This window comes from Homo sapiens, chromosome 9, assembly GCF_000001405.40.
Source record: "Homo sapiens chromosome 9, GRCh38.p14 Primary Assembly".
In the NCBI taxonomy this organism is placed as follows: domain Eukaryota; kingdom Metazoa; phylum Chordata; class Mammalia; order Primates; family Hominidae; genus Homo; species Homo sapiens.
Window position 1 is genome coordinate 117702643 of NC_000009.12, and position 25336 is coordinate 117727978.

Here is a 25336-nt window from a genome sequence, read left to right on the forward strand (position 1 = left end):
ATGATGATGCTCTAGACTAGACGTTTTACGTAAGTTAGCTTAATTCAGTAATTCAAAACACATGCGATTATCTTCGTTTTAAAGACCAGAAAACTAAAGGTTGGTAGGTTTGTATAATTTGACTACCATTGCGTATCTTTATTTTAATACATTTTATAAATGCAAGCTTCTGCTATGATTAAAAGTGATTACCACATTTTACAGACCAGAAAGTAATAATAAGTGTTGGTGAAGATGTGAAAAAATGAGAACTCCTGTACACCATTTGTGGGAATGTAAAATGGTACAGATGCTGTGGAGAATCATATGGTGGGTGCTCAAAAAATTAAAAATAGATTTACCACATGATCCAGCAATCTCACTTCTGAGTACGTATCCAAAAGAATTGAAAACAGAGACTTTAAGAGATATTTGTACAACCATGTTTATGGCAGCATTATTCACAATAGCTAACGTGTGGCAACAATGCAAGTGTCCATGAACAGACAAATGGATAAGCAAAATGTGGTCTATACATACAATGGAATATTGTTCAGCTTTAAAAAGGAAGGAGGCTTTGATCTATACTACACAGAAAAGAACCTTGAGGACATTATGCAAAGTGAAATAAGCCAGTGACAAAAAGATACATACTGTATGATTCCACTTCTAAGAGCTGCCTAGAGTAGTCAAGATTATAGAGACAAAAGTAGTGCATAGATTCAAGGGCCTAGGGAAAGGGGAAATGGGGAGTTATTTATTAATGAATAGTGGTGATGATTGTACAAAAATATGAACATAATTAATGCCACTAAATTGTACACATACAAATGGTCAAGATAATAAATTTTATGTTATGTCATGTTATGTTATGTGATTTTACCATAATACAGAAAATGAAAAAAGAAAAGAAAGAAAGTAAAGCTTAGCGGTTTACATGACTTGACCAATGCCTCAAAGCCATGAGTCACCCAGCTGAGATCTGAACTTCAGTATATTCCATTCTGAAATCCCAGACTTTTCCCAATCTTCTTGTACTTTTCAAACTGTGTTTCAGTTGAGGTTTATTTTCAGTTTTGTATGTGAGTTTCTTCACAAGAAGGGGCGGGCCAAATTGTGTCCTGCAAAAACCTACATATCGAAGTCCTAACCCCTCTACCTCAGACTATGACTGTATATGGAGAGAGAGCCTTGAAAGAGGTATGTAAGGTAGAATGAGGTCATTATGGTGGGCCCTAATCCAACATAACTGGTGTCCTTATAAGAAGGGGAGATTAGAATTCAGACACACTTGCTGACACCTTGAGTTCAGACTGGAAGCCTCTAGAATTGTGAGAAAATGAATGTCTGTTGTTTAAGCCACCCAGTCTGTGGTATTTCCTTATGGCAGCCCCAGCAAACTAATACAAATAGTGTTTCCACAGCTGAAACAAAATTGGAAAATCACCGTCATCCTAGAGAGTTACAAGGGCTATTTTAATAGAACCTGATTGTTTTCCTAAATTCACCAAGCCCAGGCAGAGGTCAGATGACTAATTGGGATAAAAGCCAACTAGCTTCCTCTTGCTGTTTCTTTAGCCACTGGTCTGCAGGCGTTTTCTTCTTCTAACTTCCTCTCCTGTGACAAAAGAGATAACTATTAGAGAAACAAAAGTCCAGAATGCTAAGGTTGCCGCTTTCACTTCCTCTCACCCTTTAGCCCAGAACTGCTTTGAATACACCAATTGCTGTGGGGCGGCTCGAGGAAGAGAAGACACCAGTGCCTCAGAAACTGCTCGGTCAGACGGTGATAGCGAGCCACGCATTCACAGGGCCACTGCTGCTCACAGAAGCAGTGAGGATGATGCCAGGATGATGTCTGCCTCGCGCCTGGCTGGGACTCTGATCCCAGCCATGGCCTTCCTCTCCTGCGTGAGACCAGAAAGCTGGGAGCCCTGCGTGGAGGTATGTGGCTGGAGTCAGCTCCTCTGAACTTTCCCTCACTTCTGCCCAGAACTTCTCACTGTGTGCCCTGGTTTGTTTATTTTTGCAAAAAAAAAAAAGAGTTAAATTACCTTAAAGACTCAAGAAGCCACAGAGATCAAATAATTCATTGTTACAGGGCACTAGAGGCAGCCATTGGGGGTTTGTTCCATTTGGAAATTTTGAGTGCTAACAGGGGCATGAGATAACATAGATCTGCTTAAGGTCCCTGCTCTGCTACCTTGTGGCTCTGTGAAGAAATTATCAAACCTGTCTGAGACTAGTTTTCGCATCTGTAAGAGAATTATAATACCTTCTTCACTAGAGAGTAAGCAGACTGCTTCAGTGTCATTTCTTCCCACTGGTGGTCTTTACACTCAGCTTCAAGCAGTCACCCTGCTCCTTTCAATCTCAGGAAAAAGATGGCTTTTGTGTGTGTGTCTCTAGAGAAAGAACTTTCTAAGTGGGTGTCAGACTTCTGTATGCAGTAATATAGTTTAGTCCAGAGGATGAAAAAAATAAGAGAATGAAAAAGGAAAAGAGAGAGAGAGAGAAGAAAAAAGCAAGAGGGAAATATGTATAATGTCAGCTAATGCAACAGTTTCTTTCTTAGTGAAATACCAATCAGCTGGTTGGTAATCTTATTCATGATGGATCTCTTTTGTTTTTCCCCTGCGCAGACTTCACAGTTGCTTTAGAAACCCATAGTAGAGCCGAACAGCTAAGAAAATGATTTACAGTGAGGCAGGGTCAGAAACTCAAGAGAGAAAAAGCCAGCTGCAGTCCTGAAGTTGAGGATATAGGAGAAAATCAAGTAATATTTAGCAAAGACTAATTCATTATCTTGAAGCCATCCCTTCCCTCAATTCCCTGCCCATAGTCCTCCTCCTTGTCCTCTTCTCTGTATCCCTCTGCTGTTAGGTTAATGGAGATAGATTTTCTAATTAGGCTCACTGCGAGATAAAACCACAGCCAAACTTGACTTCTTTTCCCCATGTACCTTTTCCTGTCAGTCCCTGAAGCCTGTCCATCCCTGCCCATCCCCTTAGTTCCACTGTAAGGCAGGCCCTCATTTCCCCTGGCATTGACTCTTACACACTAACTGCTTTCCTGATTCCAGTCTTCTTCCTTTAATTCATTCTGCACGTTCTTGTTTGTTATGTACTTGCATTTGTTGTTATTATTTTTCCTTAGGCTTCAATCTAACAAATTACTCTCCTTAAAAACTTTTAATAACTCTCCATTGCCATTAGAACAGCTTTCTACCACAGGGCCTTTGCACTGGCTATTTCTTCTACCTAGAATGCTAGATCAGTGCTATCCATTGGCAATATTATGTGAGCCACATATGTACTTTTAAAGTTTTTAGTAGCCTCATTAAAAAAAGAAACAAGTGAATTTAATTTCGATAATAGTTTTATTTAACTTAGCGTATTTAAAATAATGTTTAAAATTTTAATATATATTTACCTATTATTGATATTTTTACATTCCTTGTTTGGTACTAAGTCTGGAATTTAGTATATGTTTTACATTTACCACACTTCTCAATTTACACTATTCACATTTCTTGTGTTTGATAACTGTGTATGGCTAGTGACTACCGTATTGGTCAGTGCAGCCCAAGTCCTTTTCATGCTTTAATCACTCCATTCAGATCTCTGATTAAATGTCCCCTCCTCAGGGCAGTCTTCCTTGATTGCCCCATGTAGAGCTCTCCAGCCTCACTTATTTGCCTCAAATCCCCTTATACTGCTTAATATTTTTTTTTCTAGAGCACAACATTTTATATTTTTGTTTGTTTATTTTCTCTCTCTCCCTTTGTAATGGAATCGGTAAGGAGGCAGGATCATTGCTGGTTTTATTTACCACTATATTTCCAGTGGCCAGCACACAGTAGCCGCTAGATGTGTAAGTGATAAATGATTGAAATAATTGCTGCAGGACAAAGTCTGAGGCCCTCCTGATCTGGCTTGCCCTCTTACTTAGATTTCACCACTCCCACCACTCACCAGCTAATCTGAGTTTGTTTTCCACTCTTTACGTGCTCACGTTGTCCTCTCCTTAGGACATGTTTTTCTTCCCCTTTCCACATATCTAAACCTTACTCATCTTCCAAGACCCACTTTAAAATCTTCCTTTTCTGGGAAGCCTTTCCTGAATCCAGACTTGATCTCTGCTTTCTCTGAACCACAGGGCATATTTTCTAAGCCTATTTTATGGCCCCTTGAGATAGTGTTAGCTTTGCTCCTATCTAAACTCTTACTCTAGACTGTGAGTCCATTGAAGTCTGGAGCTGCATCATATTTTTCTTTGTAATGCCCACAGCACTTGGCAGGAAATGCCTACAATTTGGACTTAAGTAAACCTTCATTTAATCAGTTATTCAATCAGTTAGTGATTCAGCAAATATTTATTGAGCACCAACCATTTGCCAGACACCATTCTGAGTGCTGGAGACAAAGCAGTGGGCAAACCCATCAAACTTGCAATGGAATACAGGAGATGAACAATACGATGAGAACAATCAGATAGACAACATAATGTTAGATGGTTGTGCTTCCCGTGAAAGGGAATAAAAGAGGGCAAAGAAAGAGTGCCTGGCACTGTTTCTATTAGACAATATTGTCTTTGAGGCTCCATGGCTTGCAACATTTAAGCAGACATACGAATGAAGATCTGCATGTTTGAACTCTGACTTTGCGCATATTACTTCATTTCTTTGAATTTCCATTTTCCTCATCTTTAAATGCTTATTTGAAGATTAAGTGAAAGTATATAACAAACAAGAACTATGCAGGCATATGGTAAGGGATTAATGATAGATGATAATAATTAATGTTGACATCTATTGATCACTTATACTGTAGCGGGCTTTTAAATAAACTCTTTAAACACCTTATCTCATTTAATCCTTCAAACATTCTATTGGTTTCAAACAACAGAAAACTACAATTAGCTGGCTTCTGCAAGGAATTTTGTTGGAGGAAATGAGAGCATTCAGAAATTAGATGGGAGCGTTAGAGAATTAGGCTTACAAAGAATGTGGGAAAGTAGGCTAGAAAGCAGTGTAAAAACAAAGACAGCATAAAGCACTTGACCTTATTTACTAGGTTCCACCATGGGAATCCATGCACTCTAAAGATTTCCCCCTATTTCTACATCACTTTGCTCAAGGGTCAATGAGCCAAGAAAAAGAATGCAGTTGTCAAAATCTGGGCCATGACTAAGGAAGGTCTGGACATCTTGACTGCCAGACAGTCTCCCCAATGATATGGAGTATTTAAAATGATACTGGATATTTTATTTATTTTTTGTATTTTCAACTTTTAAGTTCAGAGGCACATGTGCAGAGCATGCAGGTTTATTACATAAGTAAATGTGTGCCATGGTGATTTGCTGCATAGATCATGAAAATATGGAACGCATCATGGATTTGTGTGTCATCCTTGTGCAGGGGCCATGCTCATCTTCTCTGTATCCTTCCAATTTTAGTGTATGTGCTACTGCAGCAAGCACGATATTGGATATTTTATTACCTACATTTTACATATGATAAAATGAGGCTCACTGAGGTTTTTCTTTTGTTCGTTTTATTTTGTTTTGTTTTTAAAGACTTGGCCCTAAACCACACAGAAGAGCTGGCATGAAACCCAGAGCTTTCAGACTCCGGAGCCTCAGCCCTTCACCCCGATTCCATTGCTTCTTGCTAAATGCTGCCGTTTTATCACGGAGGTTAGAATGCTGAGCACGTAGTAGGTGCTCTTTACTTTCTAATCTAGAGTAAGACAATTTATAAGCATGAATTGAGTGAATGGATGGATGGATATATGGATGGAAGGATGGACAGATGGATGAAAGGTTGACTGAATTTTGTGCTTGCACAAAAAGAGGCCCCTCTCCACCATCTCTGGTCTAGGAGAGGGGAGTTGGGAGACCATGCAGTAAAGATACTTCATGTCATGTGTAATCATTGCAGGTGGTTCCTAATATTACTTATCAATGCATGGAGCTGAATTTCTACAAAATCCCCGACAACCTCCCCTTCTCAACCAAGAACCTGGACCTGAGCTTTAATCCCCTGAGGCATTTAGGCAGCTATAGCTTCTTCAGTTTCCCAGAACTGCAGGTGCTGGATTTATCCAGGTAATGAATCCACTTTTACATACTGCACAAGGTGAGGTGTTCATTGTCCTGTCATTTCATTATTGGACTGGAAAGCTTGGTTTGTGGAGTCTCATCTTCATTCACTTATTCATTCATACAACAGATGTCTTATTAACTATATAACCTTGAGCAAGCTACCTCTATTCTCCAGGTCTCAGTTTTCTAATCTGTGAAGTAGGCAGTTGGCTGAGACAGCTTCTAAGGGCAATTCTAATTTTAGGTTTTCTTTTAAGACAGGAGAGAAAATTAGCTTAAATTCTTTCATAAGCAGCTATTTATTGACTACTTGCTATATGTTGTACACTCTGCAAGAAGACAGGCATATATTGATATATAACACACAGCCCCTGTTGTTAAGGAGGCATATCTTCTTGAAAGAGTTAATACCTTAAAGTCCTGGGTATGGTCCTGGGTACATAGTATATAGTCAACACATTTTAATTATGATTTTTTGGATCTGGAAACTGATATAAAGATAGCGACATATAACAGTAGGTGATAAATTATGTTTAAACTAAAGGTAACTAATTGTATTTTTCAGAAGAGGGGCCTTCTCTGTGGTGGGTAGTCAAGAAAGATTTCATGAACTGCATAAGATTCAAACAATGTCTAGAATATTAAAACTAGTGTACAGGATAGGGAATTAGGAAAAGACAAGTAACCCAAGGAGAAAGATGTCAAGATTAAAGGAAAACATCTGCTGTGGGCAGGGAATAATGGCTAAGATTTTCTTTTCTGATGCAGGGAAGTATATCGTTTGTTGTGGCAGGTGAAATGTCATCTTGATATTTTAGGGGAACCAAATTCTAAAAGGGTTTTCATCATCGGGGCCTTATTTGCAAATCGAACTAGATAATGGATCATGTTCTCTGCAATGGTTTGTAAAACATTTCAAAACATTTTACATATTTTTTATTATAGAAATTATTGATAAAGACTAAGGTCACAGTATAAAAATCCTTTTTAGAGCAGACATTTCTGTAGAAGAGTGAGCATACGACCTATTATACTCTAATTTGGATATAGATAGGATGTAACAAAGGAGTAATGGAACAATTCAAAGGCAGTGGTATAGTGCATAGAGTCCTGTTGGGGTCAGAAGACCTGAGCCAAGTTTACCCCCAACCTTTATAACCATGTAACCTTAGGCATATTACTTCATCTCCCTTAATCTTAGTTTTCATATCTGATCAATGGAAATGATGAAACTTATTCTGCTGGATTAAATGTGATAATAAATATTAATATGCTGTATATATTTAAATTTTTATAAAATATATTTTATAAGCATAAAGTATTCTTACAGAATTTCATTAGGTTTTTAAAATAATTTCAACTTTTATTTTTGATTCAGGGATTTACATGGTTATATTGCGTAATGCTGAGGTGTAGGGTACAATCGATACCATCACTCAGGTAGTGAGCATAGTACCCAATAGTTAGTTTTTCAACCCTTGCTGCTTTCTCTCTATCCCCTCTCTAGTAATCCCCAGGGTCTATTTTTGTCATCTTTATGTCCATGTGTACTCCATGTTTGGATCCTACTTATAAAGTGAGAACTCATGGTATTTGGCTTTCTGTTCCTTTGTTAATTTGCTTAGGATAATGGCTACTAGCTGCATCTATGCCATTATGTTCTAAATTTCAGTTTCCTGCATGAAAATTTTGTCAAGTACTCTATTAAGGTAGACCACCTCTCCCTTTTTTTTTTTTTCAAACAAGAAGTAGTTTTTCACCAAACAATGTCTCTTATGTAATTCATCTTCAATCCACTGGATACCCAATAAACTTGCCCCAGAAACCTTAAATCTGTGCTTACAGAGAGGCCAGCTTCCCTTCTTGTTAACCCATAGGAGATTCTGAATTAGGGCAAGCACAAAAGATAGCACAATAGACATCCTTTGCCTTTTCGTACAGTGTTCACATACAGTAACTCAACTAGTCTTGTAAGAATGCTTTGTGATAGACCAGGCAGCCTTCTTTCCCCTATAGAAATATATATATATTTCTTTTTATAGGTGAGGAAACTGAAGCTTGAATAATTTAAATGACTTATATACATTATCATTGCTTGTTAGCCACAGACCAGAGATTTAAGTTCACATCTCCAGAATCCAACTTAAATGTTTTCTTTGTCTTAATACTCTACTTCTCTAAAGTGATTATCACCAATGTAATGATATAGAGACACAGCAAGACCCTTTCCTTCTCACCTAATGTATAGAGCAATGCAGAGATAGAATGATGGGCTATAACAATCATATAATTGAAAGAAAGAACTTCAAAAATAATCAAGTTCAGCTGTTTGATTTATAAATGTGATAACTAAAACCTAGAGAGGAAAAGAGGTACTCAAGATCACACAGTAGGAGAGGACTGCAGAAACACCAAACCCAAGCTCTTTTGTCCACTCTTCCAGCGTTCTTTCTACTATACTGCCTATCCTTTATCTAGTTACCAATAAATAACAAAAGCTTGGACCACAATGCTTTTATTGTCTAGGAAACTCCTGAAGAAGCTAAATAAAATGGGTGGGGAATATTGTAAATGTAATTCAGGCTGGATTAAGAAAGAACTTATTTGTACATTGTAACTGACAAGCACCTGCAATGCTGAAAGGAATTTTTCATTGGCTTGCTGTTTGCTGGCTGCATCAAAGCCCTGTCTCTAGGACATGTCTCTGAACATTGTGTGTAGCATGGCTTTCATTTCTTTTAGGATAAAATTCAAAACCCTTTATCTGGTTGGTAAACCTCTGCCTAATTGGGAACCTTCTTTCTCCACAACTCCATATTGTACACTCCAATTTCATCTCTGTTCTCCAACCATGGAAGCTATTTGTCATGATTCCTCCTTGTGTCATTTTTTTTCTGTCAACCTTGGGGCTTTTGTGTTTGCTGTTCACTTCACCTCCTTTTATTGTTAACTTCTACTCATCTTTCAATTTTCAACTTAAGTGTTCTCAGAGAAACCTACTTTGATTTTCTTGGTCCACAACGGTTCTCTGGATGTGAACTCTTATAGCACATAATTTTCACTTTTTTCCACAAAACTCGCTCCTATCACCTGTTACAAGCATTTACCTCTGATAACAAGAACTTTCAAATATCTAGCTGTCATGTAAGCACTTTTCATAAACATTAAGAGTATCTGTGACACTTATGTGTAATTTTTCGTATCTCTGAAATTGATATTTACCAGTCATTTATCTTGGCTACCAACTAACAACTATCCATATTATCTGTACCAATCAGATGTATAATCACAATTTTGTGTGACAGAAAATGGCTAAACTTGATCCAAGGCTATTACATGCTTTATCAACTGCACAATCTTTATATATGTCAATTATTGATCTTTAACTGATTTCCTTCTTATGGATTTTCTCCTCTGCTTATCATGTATGCCTAACATGACAAAAAAGAGCCTATCATTGCAGCCAGTATGATAATACTCAGTCTGTGGGGCTTCTTATTTGCTTATTCCATCATCATCTGTCCTGCTTGATGTCTTTGCCTATGCACAATCATATGACCCATCACATCTGTATGAAGAGCTGGATGACTAGGATTAATATTCTATTTTAGGTTCTTATTCAGCAGAAATATTAGATAATCAATGTCTTTTTATTCCTGTAGGTGTGAAATCCAGACAATTGAAGATGGGGCATATCAGAGCCTAAGCCACCTCTCTACCTTAATATTGACAGGAAACCCCATCCAGAGTTTAGCCCTGGGAGCCTTTTCTGGACTATCAAGTTTACAGAAGCTGGTGGCTGTGGAGACAAATCTAGCATCTCTAGAGAACTTCCCCATTGGACATCTCAAAACTTTGAAAGAACTTAATGTGGCTCACAATCTTATCCAATCTTTCAAATTACCTGAGTATTTTTCTAATCTGACCAATCTAGAGCACTTGGACCTTTCCAGCAACAAGATTCAAAGTATTTATTGCACAGACTTGCGGGTTCTACATCAAATGCCCCTACTCAATCTCTCTTTAGACCTGTCCCTGAACCCTATGAACTTTATCCAACCAGGTGCATTTAAAGAAATTAGGCTTCATAAGCTGACTTTAAGAAATAATTTTGATAGTTTAAATGTAATGAAAACTTGTATTCAAGGTCTGGCTGGTTTAGAAGTCCATCGTTTGGTTCTGGGAGAATTTAGAAATGAAGGAAACTTGGAAAAGTTTGACAAATCTGCTCTAGAGGGCCTGTGCAATTTGACCATTGAAGAATTCCGATTAGCATACTTAGACTACTACCTCGATGATATTATTGACTTATTTAATTGTTTGACAAATGTTTCTTCATTTTCCCTGGTGAGTGTGACTATTGAAAGGGTAAAAGACTTTTCTTATAATTTCGGATGGCAACATTTAGAATTAGTTAACTGTAAATTTGGACAGTTTCCCACATTGAAACTCAAATCTCTCAAAAGGCTTACTTTCACTTCCAACAAAGGTGGGAATGCTTTTTCAGAAGTTGATCTACCAAGCCTTGAGTTTCTAGATCTCAGTAGAAATGGCTTGAGTTTCAAAGGTTGCTGTTCTCAAAGTGATTTTGGGACAACCAGCCTAAAGTATTTAGATCTGAGCTTCAATGGTGTTATTACCATGAGTTCAAACTTCTTGGGCTTAGAACAACTAGAACATCTGGATTTCCAGCATTCCAATTTGAAACAAATGAGTGAGTTTTCAGTATTCCTATCACTCAGAAACCTCATTTACCTTGACATTTCTCATACTCACACCAGAGTTGCTTTCAATGGCATCTTCAATGGCTTGTCCAGTCTCGAAGTCTTGAAAATGGCTGGCAATTCTTTCCAGGAAAACTTCCTTCCAGATATCTTCACAGAGCTGAGAAACTTGACCTTCCTGGACCTCTCTCAGTGTCAACTGGAGCAGTTGTCTCCAACAGCATTTAACTCACTCTCCAGTCTTCAGGTACTAAATATGAGCCACAACAACTTCTTTTCATTGGATACGTTTCCTTATAAGTGTCTGAACTCCCTCCAGGTTCTTGATTACAGTCTCAATCACATAATGACTTCCAAAAAACAGGAACTACAGCATTTTCCAAGTAGTCTAGCTTTCTTAAATCTTACTCAGAATGACTTTGCTTGTACTTGTGAACACCAGAGTTTCCTGCAATGGATCAAGGACCAGAGGCAGCTCTTGGTGGAAGTTGAACGAATGGAATGTGCAACACCTTCAGATAAGCAGGGCATGCCTGTGCTGAGTTTGAATATCACCTGTCAGATGAATAAGACCATCATTGGTGTGTCGGTCCTCAGTGTGCTTGTAGTATCTGTTGTAGCAGTTCTGGTCTATAAGTTCTATTTTCACCTGATGCTTCTTGCTGGCTGCATAAAGTATGGTAGAGGTGAAAACATCTATGATGCCTTTGTTATCTACTCAAGCCAGGATGAGGACTGGGTAAGGAATGAGCTAGTAAAGAATTTAGAAGAAGGGGTGCCTCCATTTCAGCTCTGCCTTCACTACAGAGACTTTATTCCCGGTGTGGCCATTGCTGCCAACATCATCCATGAAGGTTTCCATAAAAGCCGAAAGGTGATTGTTGTGGTGTCCCAGCACTTCATCCAGAGCCGCTGGTGTATCTTTGAATATGAGATTGCTCAGACCTGGCAGTTTCTGAGCAGTCGTGCTGGTATCATCTTCATTGTCCTGCAGAAGGTGGAGAAGACCCTGCTCAGGCAGCAGGTGGAGCTGTACCGCCTTCTCAGCAGGAACACTTACCTGGAGTGGGAGGACAGTGTCCTGGGGCGGCACATCTTCTGGAGACGACTCAGAAAAGCCCTGCTGGATGGTAAATCATGGAATCCAGAAGGAACAGTGGGTACAGGATGCAATTGGCAGGAAGCAACATCTATCTGAAGAGGAAAAATAAAAACCTCCTGAGGCATTTCTTGCCCAGCTGGGTCCAACACTTGTTCAGTTAATAAGTATTAAATGCTGCCACATGTCAGGCCTTATGCTAAGGGTGAGTAATTCCATGGTGCACTAGATATGCAGGGCTGCTAATCTCAAGGAGCTTCCAGTGCAGAGGGAATAAATGCTAGACTAAAATACAGAGTCTTCCAGGTGGGCATTTCAACCAACTCAGTCAAGGAACCCATGACAAAGAAAGTCATTTCAACTCTTACCTCATCAAGTTGAATAAAGACAGAGAAAACAGAAAGAGACATTGTTCTTTTCCTGAGTCTTTTGAATGGAAATTGTATTATGTTATAGCCATCATAAAACCATTTTGGTAGTTTTGACTGAACTGGGTGTTCACTTTTTCCTTTTTGATTGAATACAATTTAAATTCTACTTGATGACTGCAGTCGTCAAGGGGCTCCTGATGCAAGATGCCCCTTCCATTTTAAGTCTGTCTCCTTACAGAGGTTAAAGTCTAGTGGCTAATTCCTAAGGAAACCTGATTAACACATGCTCACAACCATCCTGGTCATTCTCGAGCATGTTCTATTTTTTAACTAATCACCCCTGATATATTTTTATTTTTATATATCCAGTTTTCATTTTTTTACGTCTTGCCTATAAGCTAATATCATAAATAAGGTTGTTTAAGACGTGCTTCAAATATCCATATTAACCACTATTTTTCAAGGAAGTATGGAAAAGTACACTCTGTCACTTTGTCACTCGATGTCATTCCAAAGTTATTGCCTACTAAGTAATGACTGTCATGAAAGCAGCATTGAAATAATTTGTTTAAAGGGGGCACTCTTTTAAACGGGAAGAAAATTTCCGCTTCCTGGTCTTATCATGGACAATTTGGGCTAGAGGCAGGAAGGAAGTGGGATGACCTCAGGAGGTCACCTTTTCTTGATTCCAGAAACATATGGGCTGATAAACCCGGGGTGACCTCATGAAATGAGTTGCAGCAGAAGTTTATTTTTTTCAGAACAAGTGATGTTTGATGGACCTCTGAATCTCTTTAGGGAGACACAGATGGCTGGGATCCCTCCCCTGTACCCTTCTCACTGCCAGGAGAACTACGTGTGAAGGTATTCAAGGCAGGGAGTATACATTGCTGTTTCCTGTTGGGCAATGCTCCTTGACCACATTTTGGGAAGAGTGGATGTTATCATTGAGAAAACAATGTGTCTGGAATTAATGGGGTTCTTATAAAGAAGGTTCCCAGAAAAGAATGTTCATCCAGCCTCCTCAGAAACAGAACATTCAAGAAAAGGACAATCAGGATGTCATCAGGGAAATGAAAATAAAAACCACAATGAGATATCACCTTATACCAGGTAGAATGGCTACTATAAAAAAATGAAGTGTCATCAAGGATATAGAGAAATTGGAACCCTTCTTCACTGCTGGAGGGAATGGAAAATGGTGTAGCCGTTATGAAAAACAGTACGGAGGTTTCTCAAAAATTAAAAATAGAACTGCTATATGATCCAGCAATCTCACTTCTGTATATATACCCAAAATAATTGAAATCAGAATTTCAAGAAAATATTTACACTCCCATGTTCATTGTGGCACTCTTCACAATCACTGTTTCCAAAGTTATGGAAACAACCCAAATTTCCATTGAAAAATAAATGGACAAAGAAAATGTGCATATACGTACAATGGGATATTATTCAGCCTAAAAAAAGGGGGAATCCTGTTATTTATGACAACATGAATAAACCCGGAGGCCATTATGCTATGTAAAATGAGCAAGTAACAGAAAGACAAATACTGCCTGATTTCATTTATATGAGGTTCTAAAATAGTCAAACTCATAGAAGCAGAGAATAGAACAGTGGTTCCTAGGGAAAAGGAGGAAGGGAGAAATGAGGAAATAGGGAGTTGTCTAATTGGTATAAAATTATAGTATGCAAGATGAATTAGCTCTAAAGATCAGCTGTATAGCAGAGTTCGTATAATGAACAATACTGTATTATGCACTTAACATTTTGTTAAGAGGGTACCTCTCATGTTAAGTGTTCTTACCATATACATATACACAAGGAAGCTTTTGGAGGTGATGGATATATTTATTACCTTGATTGTGGTGATGGTTTGACAGGTATGTGACTATGTCTAAACTCATCAAATTGTATACATTAAATATATGCAGTTTTATAATATCAATTATGTCTGAATGAAGCTATAAAAAAGAAAAGACAACAAAATTCAGTTGTCAAAACTGGAAATATGACCACAGTCAGAAGTGTTTGTTACTGAGTGTTTCAGAGTGTGTTTGGTTTGAGCAGGTCTAGGGTGATTGAACATCCCTGGGTGTGTTTCCATGTCTCATGTACTAGTGAAAGTAGATGTGTGCATTTGTGCACATATCCCTATGTATCCCTATCAGGGCTGTGTGTATTTGAAAGTGTGTGTGTCCGCATGATCATATCTGTATAGAAGAGAGTGTGATTATATTTCTTGAAGAATACATCCATTTGAAATGGATGTCTATGGCTGTTTGAGATGAGTTCTCTACTCTTGTGCTTGTACAGTAGTCTCCCCTTATCCCTTATGCTTGGTGGATACGTTCTTAGACCCCAAGTGGATCTCTGAGACCGCAGATGGTACCAAACCTCATATATGCAATATTTTTTCCTATACATAAATACCTAAGATAAAGTTCATCTTCTGAATTAGGCACAGTAAGAGATTAACAATAACTAACAATAAAATTGAATAGTTATAATAATATATTGTAATAAAAGTTATGTGAATGTGATCTCTTTCTTTCTCTCTCTCAAAATATCTTACTGTACTGTACTCACCTATTTTCAGACCATAACTGACCATGAAACCTGGGAAAGTGAAACTGTGGATAAGTGAGGAACTAACATACATACATGATTGTTTATCTACAGATGTATGCCTCAGTTTCTTAGTATGCTTGAAAATGTATGATTTTGTGTATATCCGTGCTACATGTAAGTGTGGTTCTATTCATATTTGAATATGAATTCTGCATAAGTGTGTTTATTCAAGCAAATGTACAAGGCTCTGAGAAGGAAGATCAACATACAACTTGGAATATTTCAAGGCCGAAATATTCAAGGCTGACATTGGCCTCCTTCCTATCAGTTCCCTCTCCCAGATGGAAATTCTAGAAATGGCAGGTGAGGTGGACAAGCAGGGAAAGAAATTATATGCATAGAACAGAAGGAGAAGAAAGAGTAAAGTCAGGCCTCAGCCAGCCTCTTTTTAGCTCTTTAAATCCTCTGGATTTAAGAGGGATAAAGGGTGGAATAAGGATAAATTAATGCCAATTGTAATGCCTTAAATTTGTGTGATACCTTACAACTTGAAACATATTCACAAAACTATATATTTGAATATCTCATTAGCTGAGTAAGGTAGCAAATCATAATTAACTTTTTCCATTTTATTGATGGGAAAGCTGAAGTTCAATGAAGTAAATTTTTCAATAGCCCACAGAGTAGGAAAGTGACAAAACCTGAGCCTGGGCCTCCAGGTCACTCAAGGACACTTTCTTTCTTCCACACCCAATTGCTTCATGCTTAAAGTTGGCAAAACAGGAAGTGAAACTCCTGCAGTTTTCTGTGTGGTTGACACTAGCAAGGGTTTCTCAGTTGAAGCCATGAATCATTAAGCCAATACATATGCATATATGTTATACATACCAAATGATTTATTTATAACCCTATCTTTCCATAAAGGACTTGAAGGAGCTTCAAACAAAGGATATGTGAACAATAGGGTTAATCAATAATAAGTAGAAAATCTGGACATAGAATAAAAAGAGGAGAGAAAGACACCGAGAATGAGCGTTAATACAGTGCTTTCCATTTTTCTGGTGTTTTGAGTAGCGTGGCTTTTGGAGAAAGCCAAAACTCAAATTCACTCCTTATCAACTGTGTGCCTTGGGCTCCATTTCTCTGAGAGTCTACTTAGCTCCAATGTAAAATAAGAATAGAACTATGACTTTGTAAGGTTGCTCTAAGGATTGAAAATCATGTATTATGTTCAATACGGGGACACTGTCCTTATGGGTGAGTACTCCCCTAAGACTTTATTAAGAGGGCACTAGGAGAAGCACTGGGAGGTCTTCTCAGTAACAACACTAAAGTAATTGCTATTTTTCCAGCCTGTGGAACCACAGAAGTGACTGTAACTAAAATTAGACATTTCTTTCTGATTCATTCTCTACTCACGGGATTGTCAGACCCCAGTCTTCTTCTGGACTCTATAAACTTTTTAGAAATCATCAGCAGGCTCCTGGAGAAGCTTAAATGAACTCACACAATATGTGACAGTGAACTCCCTGGGAGAGTGAAAACCAAAGTCTAAGCCAGTGTCTCCATTTACTTGTGTGATTGTGGGCAAGTCATTCAAGTGCTTTGAGGCTCAGGTCTTAATTCATGAAATGGAGGTAATAATACCTTGTTGGCAGACCTCACTTGGTTAAAATGATAATGTTGATAGTTACAATAGTTACATTTAATTGATCAATTGTTTTATGCAAGGGCTTTATTTGTGCTATCTCAGTTTGTCACATCAATGAATTAGAAAGATACGAAAGTATTTCCAATTTACAAATGAGGAGTCTGAGTCTGGGAGTCATTCTGTCATGTGTCCACTGTCACCTGCTCATTGGTGGCAGCACTGAGATTAGGATCTAAGTCCACTTCACCGCAGAAGCAGGGCTTCTAAATACTGTTCTATGGCAAGAGCACCCTGCTCTCACAAAATGCATAAAACTTCCTATCTCACCATTATAATTTTGACTGATATTAAACAAAGAGAAGTATTATTATTATTACTTGTTTTTATTTATATTACAGCTGTAAGAGCCAGGAAAAATGTGATCTAAGTTATGTGATCAAAGATTTTTTAACAGTGAACAAATCAGGCCCACTAGATGATGGCCTTTCTTTGAACAACATGCCTAGGGTTGCTCTATCATGTCTACAGTTGGTCTGACTTCCTGACGGGCATCACAGACTTGTGATTAAACACAGAGGTTATGGGGGAAGTTCCAAAAGCTTAGGACTTTCCAGATGGTTGGAATAAGATCACACACTCTGGCTGCCCTTATGGAGATCACCGAACTTTTCAACTCAAAGTAAAATCTGTGGAGTAAATGGTCGATCAAAAGGAACCAACTATATTGAGCACCATGCGTGATCATCTGATCGTTACTGCTACCTTGTGAGTTAAAGGCTACTCTTCTCATTTTAGAAATGAGAAAAGAGATGCCCAGAGAGGACGAGTAACTTGCCTTAGGTCACACAGCTTATATTAATCACAATAACATTTGCCGCACCTTCTGTATTTTTTTTAAGTTGCTAAGCTTTTGGTGCATGTCTGGCACCGTTTTAGTTGTATATTATTTCATTTAATTGTTAAAATGACCTTCTGATGCAGGTATTTGTAGCTTTGCCATTCCACAGATGAAGAAACAGATGAAAGGACTGAATTGTTCAATAGGAAGGAGCAGAATCAGGATATGAACTTGGGTTGGCCTGATTCTTGGGGCTGCATTCTTTCCATAACATAATTGCTTGCTGTGATGTCCTGGGCTACTCTGCCAGGGGTGGTTAGTGGAGTGAATGGAGAATAATTTAGACAAGGTCAGTAACTCCCATGCCATCTAGAAATTAAAAGTTTAAAAGGCAGAGTCTGCAACTCTCCTTGATTTCTACAGAAATAAAGATGATCCCTCCTGTGACAGTGCTAAGTGACAATTCTGAGTGTAAATGCGCTTTTTGGCACAAATTGTCCTGTCCTAATAGTCTTGATTATAATTATAAAATAATGGGTTTCTGAAAGGCTGCAAGCAGTTCTGGGAATGGCAATAAAGGTTTAGAAATGACGTGATGTTTATGAGAGAAGTGTTTTGTTGAAAATTAAACTCACGTTTAGGAGAAAGGATTGTGTTGTATGCTCCTAGGAAACTATCTCACTATGTAATTAAATCAAAACCAGCCAGTTACCAATTTGAGCTCTTGACTCATACTAACAACACCCCATTTCCCATGGGCCAAGCAAGGCAGGACTGACCTGAAATAACCCAGCCTGACTCTATCCACAGCCACCCCAGGACCTTGCCCCTCCGTCTTCCTAGGGCTCGGCCGTGAGATGCTAGTGCATGACCCTTCCTCTTCCTGGGACTGTCCTTGTCTTTCCCTTTGGACTCTGGGAGGTCTGTTCTCCTCCTCAGAAAGGAATAAACACTCTTTCTATTTGTGGGATTCCCTAGGAGACACTATATAAAAATATAGAGTTAAAAAAACTATTTAAAAAAAAGACAACTTCATGTCTCTACTCTGACTTCATTCTTTTTAAGATGGGTAACAAAGACTCTCTTCAAGGTTAGAAAATTTTATTTTAATTTTTATAGATTTAGAGAGTGCAAATGCAGTTTTGTTACATGAATATATTGCATAATGGTTTAGTCTGGGCTGTTAGCGTAACCATCAACTGAACAGTGTACTTTGTACCTATTAGGTACTTTCTCATCCCTTAACCCCTTCCCACCTTTCTGAGTCCTCAATGTCTGTTATTTCATTCTCCATGTCCATGTCTACAAATTATTTAGTTTCCACTCATAAGTGAGAGCATGGATGGAACTGGAGAAGAGTATTTTCTATCCCAAGATCGGTTCCTTGATCTTGTGTCTCCAAATCACTTGCTCTCTCTCTTACATCTTTTCTATCTTCTTCTAGCCTCTTTTTGCAAACTTCATTTTGACAAAGAATTCCAGGCAGTCTACAGCTGATTTTATTTCAATACAACGATTAAAATGGAAACCATATATGAAGATGACAAAGTTGAGCAGGTCCCAAACTCTCACTTTTAAACAAATGCTTGGCTTAAGAATCACTTAATGACTTTCATTCTGCTATCTATGTGTCTGTGTATCTAGGTACTAATTATCTATCTTTATGATCTTTATTGCTAGAAATTCTGGTTCAATATCAGAGGTTAGTCCTAAGGAATTTATATTTTAAAATATTCTCCCAGTTTTCGTGCACAGACAGATTTGGGAATTACTGTTATAATGGAAAATGGAGAATAACCACCCACATTTAATATGGTTATTGGTTTTGTTCTTGAGATTTATTGCTAAGATTCATGATAGCCCAGGCAAGGTCAGATAATGTATTTTTATTTTACACTGTATAGTTGATTCTTCTCAATCCCACTAGATCAGACTCTTTGGGATACTAGGATTGGCCTATTTGATGGTGAGCTCACTACATCCATTTAGATGTTGTGTCCATGCAATCATTTTAGTTCTCCTAGTTTCTACCTATCACGTTGTCATTTTCCCTTCTTTATCATCCTGGGTAGCTGAGACCCCACATAAATATATACCAGAAAAATGTTGTGGTCTTTTCTAAACTCTCTGAGGCATCTGTTGTCAATGTGATGTTGTTTTTTGTTTCCAGTCCAAAATATATCAAAGTAAAATTTAACTCCACTTTTGCTAAGTATTCATCTTGCCTTGAGTACTAAGATTCCAAAAATGACTTTCCCCTCTGAAAAACACAGGATTTCCTTGCGAAAACTTGCTGGGCCACTGCCAATCTTCCCAGAAACTCCTTTTTCCTTATCGTTGAGGGGAATTGGGGAAGTGATCACTGACGGTTGAAATTCAGTAGTTTTGGTCTTTAAGCTGAGACCCTGAGTCTTCTGAGGAGTCTACTGCTCCCCAGTGGGAAACACCTGCTGTCAAAATTTTCCTGCTTGCAAAGAGCACTTTTGAAATTAATGGCAGGGGATGAATATCTGGCTAGTGCTGTGCTCAGCTGAGTTATTAATAGGGCCTTCTGAGTCCTCTCTACACATCATCTTTGGCTGAATTAGCTGTGGTTTCAGCACCTGAGAGTCTAGCACCACTAAAGGCAGGGAATACCTTTGCCAGTTTCTGGCATATTAACAGCTGAGATCAGATAAGTGAACAGCGATAGAGGTAGTGAGGTTTAGGATTCAGGTCTGCCACCGGGAGCGCACCTCTGGGCTCAGGTCTCTCATTTGTAAAATGGGACATTTAGGTCAGATCAGCATTTTCAAAAGTGTGACATGTTAGTAAATAAGATGATTTTATGTGGTTGACAGATGAATGTATTACCTTTAGTGGTTATATGTTTATTTTCATGGTTACTTTTATTTATAATAAATTTTGTGACTAGCTAAGAATCAATTATCTCTTTAAAATATATTTAAGTTTAAAATGTGGGCCAACTTAGGAAAAAAACGGGATGAAATGAATTATATAAAAGGTATGCAGATTTGGAAAAATTTTGAAGGTGTCACAAGAAAGATTGGCAGTCAGAAAGGAATGAACCAAACGGCTGCTGAGGGTCAGGCCAGCTCTCTGACATTCTAGCATGTTCACATCTCCAGGGCTGTTTCCTTACCTATAAATTGTGGCAATTGGAGTAAATGTCCATTCCAGGAATTCTATTCTATGATTAGAGGTGTAACTTCATCATCCAGATTTTCCAGCATCCTTAACATGTGGTTTTAGCGTTCTAAACCTGATGATGCTATATCAAAACGGGAGACTCATTCGTCAAGTCATGATGTATCCATGTATTTATAATATTTCCCATGTTCCCTCATTTCTGAAAAGGATTAAGCTATCAACCCCATTGAGTTATAGGTGAAAGGCTGTGGAAACAAGACATTGATAGTGAAATGGCTCCACCACTAACAGGCTGTTGAACAAAGGCAAATCTCTTGATCTCTTTGCTCTTTGGTCTCTGTTTATCTATGAGATAACGTTATTTTTACGCTGTCTTCTGTGAAAGTTTTGAGAATGAAATGAGACAGAGCCTCCAATAAAATTTAGGGAAGTGCTACATAAATGCAAGGAGTTATTATGATAACAGATTGAAAACTCCTCCAAGGAGGAGTTTCTCTTTTGCCCCATGTTATAAACTCAAGAATATCTTCCATTTTGCCTACATATTCCAAAAGCTTTTAAATTAAGCTATATGTCATTCTTACAGGAGTCTCCTCTATTTCAGCAATGTGTATACTTGGTCAGTTTTAATTATCTTAAAGGAGAAGAATACAGTTTCTCTAAACTCAAGCACTTTTGTGGACTAATCCTTGCAATTATTCTTTCTTCTTTCCCATACTTGACATTTAAAGTGATATCTCCCAGGCTCCTACACTGTTAGTCACAGAGGTACCATTCGACCCCTTGTGCCTCTTACCATATGTGAATGCTTGTCAGTTGAGAGTAAACTTTCTTCATAAATTTCACAGTTGTGGATTGATAAAAACAGAGAACTCTGGTTCCTCATTCCTTCCTGCTTTCTTTCTTGAAATGCCATTCATGATGGTCCCTTATATCACTATAGGGCTGCTATCATCCTTCATCCTTATGCCACTGCAAATAGCAACCAACAGTGTCCTTAGTGCCAGCACTCCCAGGCATGCCCCTTTCCAAGCAGCAGGGTCAAGCCGCTCCCTTCCTGAGCTGTGGCATCTGTCTCTAAATCATGCTTCCTCCTTGCCTGCTGCAGGCCCTTGTCTCTGCCCTTTACTTTTTCTGGCTCTTGCCACGGTTTTGAATAAAACTCTTCCAAATATCTGAAGCTCAATTCTGTTGCCATTCTAAGCTCTCTAAATGTCACCACAATCTTCCTTCCTTTGCATTTTCTTATTGTGCACTAAGTTAGTTCTTGCTTAGTAAGTCTTGTCTTTCTCTCTGCTTTGACCTGTCAGTATTCCAACTTCCTTATTTTTTGATGTTCATTTTCTCCTTGCTCTCTTTCTTCCTTTCTTGTCTGTGAACTCCATTAACCGCTTCTGCATGTGACCATTAATGTGCCTGTCTTTCTTCTCATGTATTAGAGAGAACAAAAGCTTTGGGAATCAGACAGATCTGTGTTCTGATCCTGTCTTATGGTATCTGTCTTGTTTGTCTCGGCTTAAAATGGGGATAATATCTACCTCTCAGTTTTGTTGGCAGTTCAGTACACGGAAATAAAGTTCTCACTTTCTTTTTTCTCCTTGAGAGTGTTCTTTATTTTACTCATCTGGCCATCTAATATTTATGAAGAAGCTACTCTGTGGTTGAAAAGGCACATGAAGCTGCAGAAGTAAATGACCAAGAAGTGCCCTCAAAGTTACGGAGTTCAGATTCATTTTGGCAAGAGAGGCATGTCAATACACACACACACACACACACACACACACACACACACACACACACAATGTTATGCCAAAATGCAGGGTGGTGGGGAGTGGAGGGTTGTTCTTCCTAGAAGCAATCAGAGAAGGCTTTACAGAGGAGGGCCCATTTGAGCTGGAAATTGTAAAAGAACAGCTCTGCAGATGGATCTTTAAATTCTTAACCTAAAAGAAGAGCAAAAATGTAAATGATAAATCTGGGAAGTAATAAGTAGAAGACCATGTATAGCAGAGTTGAGGAAAGAAACAATATAGTATAAATACTGAATTACATGAAAGCTAATAGTTAATTGGCATCAGTTGACCCTGACAAAGACATTTATCTGGACTATGTCTCAATTTGCTTATCTGTCAGTTAAGGATGATATATTAAATGAGTGCTTATACAAACAAAGTGCTTAAAACAGTGCAAGGCACTTCACAGTCATCAAAAATGCTAATTTTTTGTGTGCTTTCATTATGAAATGGGGAGCATACAGCCCGACAGAAGCCTAGGTAATGTCTCAGCATTAAGCCCACTGGTTTGTGGTGCCTTGCATTTAGGAGGCCCAAGTCCTTATCCTGGTGTTGATACAAACTTCCTGTGTGACACTGGGAAGCTATAACTCAGTCTTGACATAATACAACTTGTTCTTCGGCTTCAAAAACTTTCCCAGAATTGGAGTGACCCTACCCTCCCTTTCAAGAAACAGACAAACATCCTAGAATGTTACAACATAAGGGTTGAAGAAGCTGTTGTTAAGTGATCATCTTGTTACCACAAAATTGTTAAACTGCATAACAGAGTTATGCAATTTCTTCTTCCCCTATTTTTTATTTTATTTTTCCATAAGGTATTGGTATTTCATTACATGAGTAAGTTCTTTAGTGGTGACTTGTGAAATTTTGGTGCACCCGTCACCCAAGCAATATACACTGCACCATATTTGTAGTCTGTTATCCCTCTCCCTCTTGCCACTCACAGCATTTGGGGTGTCTTCTGGGTCCTGCAGGAGCAGTCCACTTCCTTGAGAGGTTTTGTGGGTCCTCTTGGGAATGTTGGTTTGTTCTTGCAGTCAATTTGGAGCTAAAATTCACAATGCAAGCCTCTGGATGCTGCTCTGTCTGGAGCTGCAATCTAGTCCTGACTCCTCTCTGCCATGATCCCCTCCATACACCTTCTTCTCTTATTTTTATGCCAATGAGTGAAGGCCTCAACCTGGCCTTCCCTGCCTCTTAGTTAGCCTCCTGTTCTGCCTGATGTCACAAGGATAGTGAGAGGCATGGTCTGGATTTGAACCAGATCTACCTGTTCCCACTGCACCATGCTGACTTTGTATGAAGAAGCCACCAGGCTAGTGGTGGTGGTGGTGGTAGTAGCAGTAGTGAAATTCTATTGATAATACTACCTCTACCAATAATAATAAAAAAGGGGAGAGATGGAGGAAAAGGGGTGGAGAATCAAGTGAGGAATCAACTGGAGCAGTTCTACTTGATTCTGTTTTATGTTTTGGGTTTCTTGTTGACGGTTTAGCTTTTGTGATCTTAATTTTTGTTCTTTTTTGTTTGTTTTTGTCATTTCCAAAACTTCTGCTCAGCTTTCTATCCACTATAGGGATTCTTTCTACTACCACAAAACAATAACAATAAAGATCATAATAATGAAAAAATACAACATTCTTAAGTCCATTTATACCAAGTGAAACAGTCTTTTAGCAGTTTTCACGAACCAGGCACTACGTTAGGTGTTTTACGTGCATGATCCCATTTAATATTCCCAACCACTCTGTGAGGCAGGTGTCTTCATCGCCATTTGGCAGAGGAGGAAACTGAGGCTAAGGGAGTTTGAACCGATCCATCCAAACAACTTAGCTAGTAAATTACAGATAGTAAGATGGAAGATTAGAACCCATATGTGCCTAATTCCAAAAGCTGAGCTCTTCAATCCTACCCTGAAATATCTCCTAAGTATGATTGTTCAGATTATGCTAAAAAATCCAGTGACAGAGCTGATTATTTCCTCAAATGTCTCATTTATTGTTTGGCAGCTCTGATGACAGATATAAAGATGGAGATACATAAACTGACTACATCAGTCCGCCTATGCATGAGAGTTGGCCCATTATTTTCACCTGTGATATGGAATAAGAACCAAGAGTTTTTTTTTTACATGCATTTGGATATGATATAAAGGCTTGCTATTGGAGTTGGATCCTGCCCTTTTCTCACCAGGAGATTCTGGCTGGCTTGGAGCAGAAAGCCTTTGTTCTGGGGTAGCAACACCAATATTCTGCCTAGGAGAAGCCTCCTGCAGAGTCTTTCTCTTTTTTTCAGCTTTGTTTGACCCTCAGTAAGGTGCTACTTGAGCTTTCTGGGAGGTAGAAAATGTTAAATGGATGTACACAGATATCCCCTCCTTTGTAAGTTCCATGGGAAATGTTTTAAAATGGGTTCATTGCTGTCTCCCAGTACACTGGGGTAGTGGAATACAATGTGTTTTTACGAAATGGGTGATGGATGTCATATACTCAGCATGGTGCTTGACACATGCTGTGTGGTCTCAACATGTGGTCAGCTTCAGTAACTAGCTGATAAGCAAGTGTTAGGGCAGTAGAATGAATTTCTCATAGGCATGGAAACTAGAAAGGCAACGAAGAGGCTGGGCTCAGTGGCTCACACCTGTAATCCCAGCACTTTGGGAGGCCCAGCCGGAAAGATCATGAGGTCAGGAGTCCAAGACCAGCCTGGCCAATATGGTGAAACCCCATCTCTACTAAAAATAAAAAAAAAACTACCCAGGCGTGGTGGCGCATGCCTGTAGTTCCAGCTACTGAGGTGCCTGAGGCAGGAGAATCGCTTGAACCTGGGAGGCAGAGGTTGCAGTGAGCCAAGATTGCTCCACTGCACTCTGGCCTGGGCATGAGAGCATGACTGCATCTCAAAAAAAAAAAAAAAAAAAAATAGGCAACTGAGAATCCCTATACTGCCATAGCGTGGATGGTAGAACAGGCATTATCCAGAACACTGTCTATTAATTTAAAAATGTTGACTGAGCTCATCCTACCTGCCAGCCCCTGAAGAGGAATGC

The 25336-nt window shown here is 38.8% G+C and overlaps 1 protein-coding gene and 1 pseudogene across 3 annotated transcripts, besides 6 other annotated features; one reads left to right on the forward strand and one right to left on the reverse strand.

Annotated features, from left to right (window-relative positions):
* Positions 1183–2382: an enhancer, noted in NCBI's record as "CDK7 strongly-dependent group 2 enhancer chr9:120466103-120467302 (GRCh37/hg19 assembly coordinates)". NCBI's record gives its function as "activates an origin of replication core promoter dependent on BRD2, BRD4, P300/CBP, MED14 and CDK7 cofactors, with strong dependence on CDK7, by STARR-seq in HCT116 cells {active_cell/tissue: HCT116}" and the evidence as "EXISTENCE:reporter gene assay evidence [ECO:0000049][PMID:35650434]".
* Positions 1330–1830: an enhancer, noted in NCBI's record as "H3K4me1 hESC enhancer chr9:120466250-120466750 (GRCh37/hg19 assembly coordinates)". NCBI's record gives its function as "activates a minimal SCP1, AML or CMV promoter by ChIP-STARR-seq in naive H9 embryonic stem cells {active_cell/tissue: H9 hESC(naive)}" and the evidence as "EXISTENCE:reporter gene assay evidence [ECO:0000049][PMID:30033119]".
* Positions 1731–1780: an enhancer, noted in NCBI's record as "active region_28887". NCBI's record gives its function as "activates an Ori minimal core promoter by ATAC-STARR-seq in GM12878 lymphoblastoid cells {active_cell/tissue: GM12878}" and the evidence as "EXISTENCE:reporter gene assay evidence [ECO:0000049][PMID:35858748]".
* On the forward strand, positions 1761–22093 carry TLR4 (toll like receptor 4). Of its 3 annotated transcripts, NM_003266.4 has the most exons (4): positions 1761–1923; positions 5557–5676; positions 5921–6087; positions 9747–22093. In NM_003266.4, exons 3-4 carry the CDS (start codon positions 5948–5950, stop codon positions 12004–12006), a joined length of 2400 nt encoding a protein of 799 aa, NP_003257.1. In that variant the 5' UTR covers positions 1761–1923; positions 5557–5676; positions 5921–5947; the 3' UTR covers positions 12007–22093. The 3 variants fall into 3 exon arrangements, with proteins under 3 accessions (NP_003257.1, NP_612564.1, NP_612567.1); NM_138554.5 differs by lacking the exon at positions 5557–5676; NM_138557.3 differs by lacking the exons at positions 5557–5676; positions 5921–6087.
* Positions 1791–1860: an enhancer, noted in NCBI's record as "active region_28888". NCBI's record gives its function as "activates an Ori minimal core promoter by ATAC-STARR-seq in GM12878 lymphoblastoid cells {active_cell/tissue: GM12878}" and the evidence as "EXISTENCE:reporter gene assay evidence [ECO:0000049][PMID:35858748]".
* Positions 1831–2331: an enhancer, noted in NCBI's record as "H3K4me1 hESC enhancer chr9:120466751-120467251 (GRCh37/hg19 assembly coordinates)". NCBI's record gives its function as "activates a minimal SCP1, AML or CMV promoter by ChIP-STARR-seq in naive H9 embryonic stem cells {active_cell/tissue: H9 hESC(naive)}" and the evidence as "EXISTENCE:reporter gene assay evidence [ECO:0000049][PMID:30033119]".
* Positions 2447–3646: an enhancer, noted in NCBI's record as "CDK7 strongly-dependent group 2 enhancer chr9:120467367-120468566 (GRCh37/hg19 assembly coordinates)". NCBI's record gives its function as "activates an origin of replication core promoter dependent on BRD2, BRD4, P300/CBP, MED14 and CDK7 cofactors, with strong dependence on CDK7, by STARR-seq in HCT116 cells {active_cell/tissue: HCT116}" and the evidence as "EXISTENCE:reporter gene assay evidence [ECO:0000049][PMID:35650434]".
* Positions 5354–5460, reverse strand: RNU6-1082P (RNA, U6 small nuclear 1082, pseudogene; annotated as a pseudogene).